Below are 5970 nucleotides of genomic sequence, written 5' to 3'. Positions count from 1 at the left end.
TTTTACGACAGTAATCAGGCCCTGAAAAGTTGAGATAGTACAGTTCTTGCTCCAAATCCTGTTGTCTTAATCACTTTACTATATTGCTGCCTCCAGGTTTGTGTGTCTTCTGTGTAGCAGACCACTCCAAGTCAGTATTCAGTTTCTCAGTCTCAATTCCAAATTCCTAGGAACTCCTTGGAGTGTCTAGTGGTACAACCATGTTTCTGTTAGAGGCCAGTCACTGTAGATTGTAGTCTGGGAGGGAAGCGCTGCAGTTATCAGAAACTTCGAATGCGCTGACATTTCAGTAGACGTCTACCAGTCTTCCTGCTGTTTTAGTACAGCTTTAAGAATTACAATCTGGCCGTGTGCAGTGGCTCATGCCTATAATCCCAGTGCTTTAGGAGGCAGAGATGGGAGGATCACTTAAGCCCAGAAGTTCGCGTTCAAAACCAGCCTAGGCAACAGAGACCCAGTCTCTACAAAAAAAAAAAAAAATTTTTTTTTCTTAATTAGCCGGGTGTGGTGGCCTGCACCTGTAGTCCTAGCTACTTGGGAGGCTGAGGCAGGAGGATCGCTTGAGCCCAGGATGTCAAGACTGCAGTGAGCTGTGATCGTGCAGTGGCTGGAGCCACTGTGCTCCAGCCTGGGTGACAGAGCCAGACCCTGTCTCAAAAATTAGAATCTCAGTATCATCGTAACACTCCTGAACCTGCTGTTTAGGCAAGTAATTTAACCTCTTTGGGCCTCCATTTCTTCAGCTGTAAGATATCTATTTACATATAGGTCTGTGATCCATATGTGACCATATAATTATATACTTGGTACAGCCCTAGGCTGAAGTGTTTTTTGGGGGTTTTGTTTGTTTGTTTGTTTTGGTTTTTTTGAGACAGAGTCCCACTCTGTTGCCCAGGTTGGAGTGCAATGGCGCGATCTGGGCTTACCGCAACCTGCGCTTCCCAGGTTCAAGCAATTCTCCTGCCTGAGCCTCCGAGTAGCTGGGATTACAGGAGCATGCCACTATGCCCGGCTAATTTTTGTATTTTCTGTAGACACGGGGTTTGACCATGTTGGCCAGGCTGGTGAAGCTTTTATTCTTAATGAAACTGGAATTGACCATAAGCGTTTTTGTTCTCTTTGCAGCCTAATGACAGTGAAGTGGACATGTTTGGTGACTATGATAGCTTTACTGAAAACTCCTTTATAGCTCAAGTTGACGACCTGGAACAAAAATATATGCAACTCCCTGAACATAAGAAACATGCTACAGACTTTGCCACTGAAAATCTTTGCTCGGAAAGTATCAAAAACAAACTCAGCATTACTACCATAGGCAACCTTACTGAATTACAAACTGATAAGCACACAGAGAACCAGAGTGGATATGAAGGTGTCACTATTGAACCTGGAGCTGATCTTTTGTATGATGTACCTTCCTCACAGGCTATATACTTTGAAAATTTGCAGAACTCTTCAAATGATTTGGGTGATCATTCTATGAAAGAAAGGGATTGGAAGTCATCCTCTCACAACACTGTGAATGAGGAACTGCCCCATAATTGCATAGAGCAACCCCAGCAAAATGATGAGTCCTCTTCCAAAGTCAGAACTAGTTCAGATATGAACAGGAGAAAAAGTATTAAAGATCATCTAAAAAATGCCATGACTGGAAATGCGAAGGCCCAGACACCAATATTTTCTAGAAGTAAACAGCTCAAAGACACTCTCCTATCTGAGGAAATTAATGTTGCTAAGAAAACAGTTGAGTCATCATCAAATGACCTTGGTCCTTTTTATTCATTACCCAGCAAAGTGAGAGACCTTTATGCCCAATTCAAGGGAATTGAAAAATTATATGGTAATGCTTTTTGCTGGAATAAAAAAATTTTTTTCCTATCATTACCATAATATTAGTGCAAGTAAATAGAAGCAAATGCTTTCATGGTCCATACTGTTTCTCATTTTGAAAACAAAAGATCAGTGATCTCTCAGCCCCTTCCATTCCTACCTGTCCTGCTACCACTGAACCTCTTTCCTTCCCTCACAGTCACACTTATCAAACCAGTTATCCTTTCTGTCTGTTTCCTTACCTGACATAATTCCTCTAATTCCTCATCTATAAGAAAGGGATAATAAGTTGTTAGCAAGTCAGATTCTGGTTCAAAGACATGCCAAATTCAATGTTGGTAATGATTTTCAATAATTATATTGGTAGCTTCTAAGTAAGAACTTTAGTAAATTACCCCACTCTAATTCTGGGTTCTGTGCTCTCATTCTCTCACTTAAGATCTGATGACTGAGACGTCTAAACACAGTGTTACTTTTAATGTTTACCTTACCTGACTTCTCAATAACTTACCTGATGCTATTGACTACACCCTTCTTGAAATTCTTGTTTCTGGATGTCCTTACAACCACTCCTGTTTTTTGACCCCGATTGTCTAGTAGAGATCCTCAGCTTTCTTAGTTGTATTTCCTTGGCTGGCTCTGTCTTCTCTACCAAAACCTAGCTGTTGTGGTATGTCTTTGACACTCACATGTCTTGAGTGAAAGAAGTCAGTTATTAGTAATACTGTTGATTAAACCAAACATCTTTCCCCCCACACCAGCAGCCGCAGCTACCTCTCCCCACGGGTGCATCCCTGCCACCACCCAGATGCTCTGCCTTGTGCTGCCTTTCCCAAAGCTAGACATCTTTAAAGACAGCTGCAATTAAGTTTTAAGTCAGGGATGTCCAATCTTTTGGCTTCCTTGGGCCACTTTGGAAAAAGTATTGTCTTGAGCCACAATAAAATACAGTAACACGATAGCTGATGAGCCAAGAAAAAAAATTGCAAAAAAAAAAATCTCATAATGTTTTAAGAAAGTTTACAAATTTGTGTTGGGCCACATTCAAAGCCATTCTGGGCCTCATGAGGGCCGTGGGTTGGACAAACTTGTTTTAAGTGCAAAGAAGCAATAATATTAAGAAGGTATCTTGTAATGTTTTTCAAAAATCCAGGGTCCTTGCATATATTTCAGATATGTGTCATTTTAGACCAAGAAGGGACAGTTGCTGCCATACTGGAGGGTCAGCCCCATCAACCTTCCACTTCGTAAGTTTTCTGGAACTCCTGTTAGGATCTTATGAATGATATGAAAACTTGGGTTCTTGCAGAGAAGACAATCAGGTTGGAGAAGCAGAACTACAGGAAACAAAGTCTAATAAAAGACTCTACAAGAATCCAAATTGTGAGGTTCATGACTTAAGAGCTAATGGTGTGTGTTGCCCTGGAAGTAGACGTTAACTTTCTTCCCTCTGTTCTTCCCTCTGTTTTTCTGCTAGCACCTTGCTTTTTGTTTAGTCTGCCAGAATGAATATCCTGAGGACAAGGCTCTATCTAACTCATCTTTTTGTTTTTGTTTTTGTTTTTTTGTTTTTTTTTGAGACGGAGTCTCGCGTGTTGCCCAGGCTGGAGTGCAGTGGCGCATCTCAGCTCACTGCAAGCTCCGCCTCCTGGGTTCGCGCCATTTTCCTGCATCAGACTCCCCAGTAGCTGGGACTACAGGCGCCCGCCACCACGCCCGGCTAATTTTTTTTTTGTATTTTTAGTAGAGACAAGGTTTCACCGTGTTAGCCAGGATGGTCTCGATCTCCTGACCTTGTGATCCGCCTGCCTCAGCCTCCCAAAGTGCTGGGATTACAGGCGTGAGCCACCGAGCCCGGCCTAACTCATCTTTTTCTTAACTAGCACTGTGCCTGGTATACTCTGGTAGGTTCTCAACTGCTGGGGATTGTCACTTAAAAATGCAACCTTAGCACTTTGGGCCTAGTTCCTCATCTATAAAAAGGGATAATTTTTTTTTGCAAGTTAGAGTCTGTGTTAAGGACATGCCAAATTAGATGTTGGTAATGATTGTCAGTAATTACATTGGTAGCTTCTAAGTAAGAACTTCAGTAAATAACAACTTTTTAAATCTTTTTACCTCTAAATCTGGCTTAATAACATGACCAGATTAAAGCATAAATGCATGTGCTACTTTTTATTAAGCTAAAGCGGTGGTTCTCAAGTGTGGTTCCTGGACTGCAGCATCAACATCACCTGGAAATTTGTTGAAGTGCATGTTCTCAGACACTTCCCTAGACCTACTGCGTCAGAACCTCTAGGAATACGACCTGGCAATCTGTGATCGTGGCTCACTACAGCGTCAACCTCCCAGGCTCAAGCAATCCTCCCACTTCAGCCTCCCAAGTCGTGGGGACTATAGGCATGCGCCACCATACCCAGCTAATTTTTTTATATTTTGTAGAGATAGGGTCTCATTTTGTTGCCTAGGCTGGTCCTGAACTCCTGGGCTTAAGCAGTCCTGCTGTCTCAGCCTCCCAAAGGGTTGGAATTACAGATATGAGCCATTGTACCCGGCTAGTTTTTTTTTTTTTTTTTGATGTGAAGATTGTATTCATAAATATTAGTTATTTTGTCATGTTATGCTTAAAAATCTGAATTGGATAAAATGTGGCTATGGTTAAGTTATACTTTGGCATAAACATCTAATTTGATAACTCGGGTGATACCAATCTGAAGTATTTTTCAATATTTATTGAATATTAAATTTAAGTATTTTTGAAATATTTTTAAAGAAAATATTCACAGTCACTTGTAGTATTTGGGAATCACCCAAAAGCACAATAAGTTAAAGTTACTTGTAACTGTCATTCAGATATAACTTTCTTTTTTTTTTTTAATAGAGATGGGCTCATCTTGAAATCCTGGTCTCAAGTGATCCTCTTGCCTTAGGCTCCCAAAGTGCTGGGATTACAGACATGATCCACCACTCCGGGGCAATGATCTGCTTTTTTTTTTTTTTTTTTTTTTTTTTTTTTTTAAACTTAACTGTATATTGAACATACATAGATCCATCTATTCTTCATTTTTAAACTGCAAAGAATCTCATTGGTTGATTGTACAATAATTCATTCGGCCTTTACCCCCACCACCATGGCACTTTGTTACCTACAAACAATGCTGTGTTTTATATGCTTTGGCTTCCGTTCTATAGATGTAGAATCCCAAAAGTAATACTACCAGATCAAAGGCAATGTGCAGTTCTATTTTATACTAGGTTACTTTCCACAAGGATTCTAGCAGTTTATGTTCTCACAACCGTACATGAAAATGGCTGTTTTTCCCCACATTAGTCAGCTCTGGATTTTGCATGTGTGGGGCTTTTTTTTTTTTTGATAGTTATTTGTTTTTTATTTTAAAAATTTATTTTGCCAACCCAGTAGAGAACAGCTGAGCATCTTCTCATGTATTTATTGGCCATTTGCATTTCTGCTGCTTATTGGCCATGTATTTATTGGCCATTTGCCGTCTGCTGTGAAATGTCTTAAATTTTTTGCCCATTTTTCTAGTGATAAAACACTGAAGCACATTTTTAAAGACTTCTGATGATTTTTATTGTCAGATTATCCTACAGAGTAATTAATACTAGTTTTCACACGGTATCTTGGATCTGATCTATTTTCATGAATCCCGCCTTGCCAAATTGTGGGAATCCTAGGCGTGTCAGTTAATAATCCTAGTCTTTTGTGGTTTAAAGAGTTTTAACAGTTTAAAATGGTTTTGGACCCATTCGAAGTTCAGGTCTCCATGAGAGCTAGTTAAAGTTTTTATTAGTTTGTGTAAAACCTAATAGATTTGTTTCCCTCCTTCCCCTGCTTCTCTCTGAGATGGCTTTTGGCTGAATGAGGAAGGGAAGCTTATATAATCTCCTTGCAGAACATAAGAGGAAGACATTCGAATTCACACAGGTCCTTGTACTGTCCCTTTGTTCCTCTGATATCTCAGATGGCACTCCTTGTCCACGAGGCTGCTACCTGCCCTGCTGTAATATTGGACCCAAGTCTGCAGCTGGTGAATAAATGGGCTGGTTGCCCACCTTGCTGCCTAGGCCTGAACTAGGCTCTCACTGGCTGTACTACTTGCACATTTGGGATTTTTGACA

At 40.5% G+C, this 5970-nt stretch overlaps 1 protein-coding gene across 7 annotated transcripts in view; it reads left to right on the top strand.

Moving 5' to 3' along the window:
• Nucleotides 1-5970, top strand: part of HELQ (helicase, POLQ like) — a 48538-nt gene that overhangs the window by 813 nt on the left and 41755 nt on the right. For 4 of the 7 annotated variants that reach the window (NM_001297755.2, NM_001297757.2, NM_133636.5 and 1 more), the window contains exon 2: nt 1126-1840. In NM_001297755.2, the coding sequence (NP_001284684.2) occupies nt 1126-1840 (715 nt within the window). 7 annotated transcript variants of the gene reach the window in all.

The sequence above is a fragment of the Homo sapiens genome, chromosome 4 (assembly GCF_000001405.40).
Source record: "Homo sapiens chromosome 4, GRCh38.p14 Primary Assembly".
Taxonomy (NCBI): Eukaryota; Metazoa; Chordata; class Mammalia; order Primates; family Hominidae; genus Homo; species Homo sapiens.
Note: the sequence above shows the minus strand (reverse complement) of the source record. Positions and strands in the feature narration are given on the sequence as shown.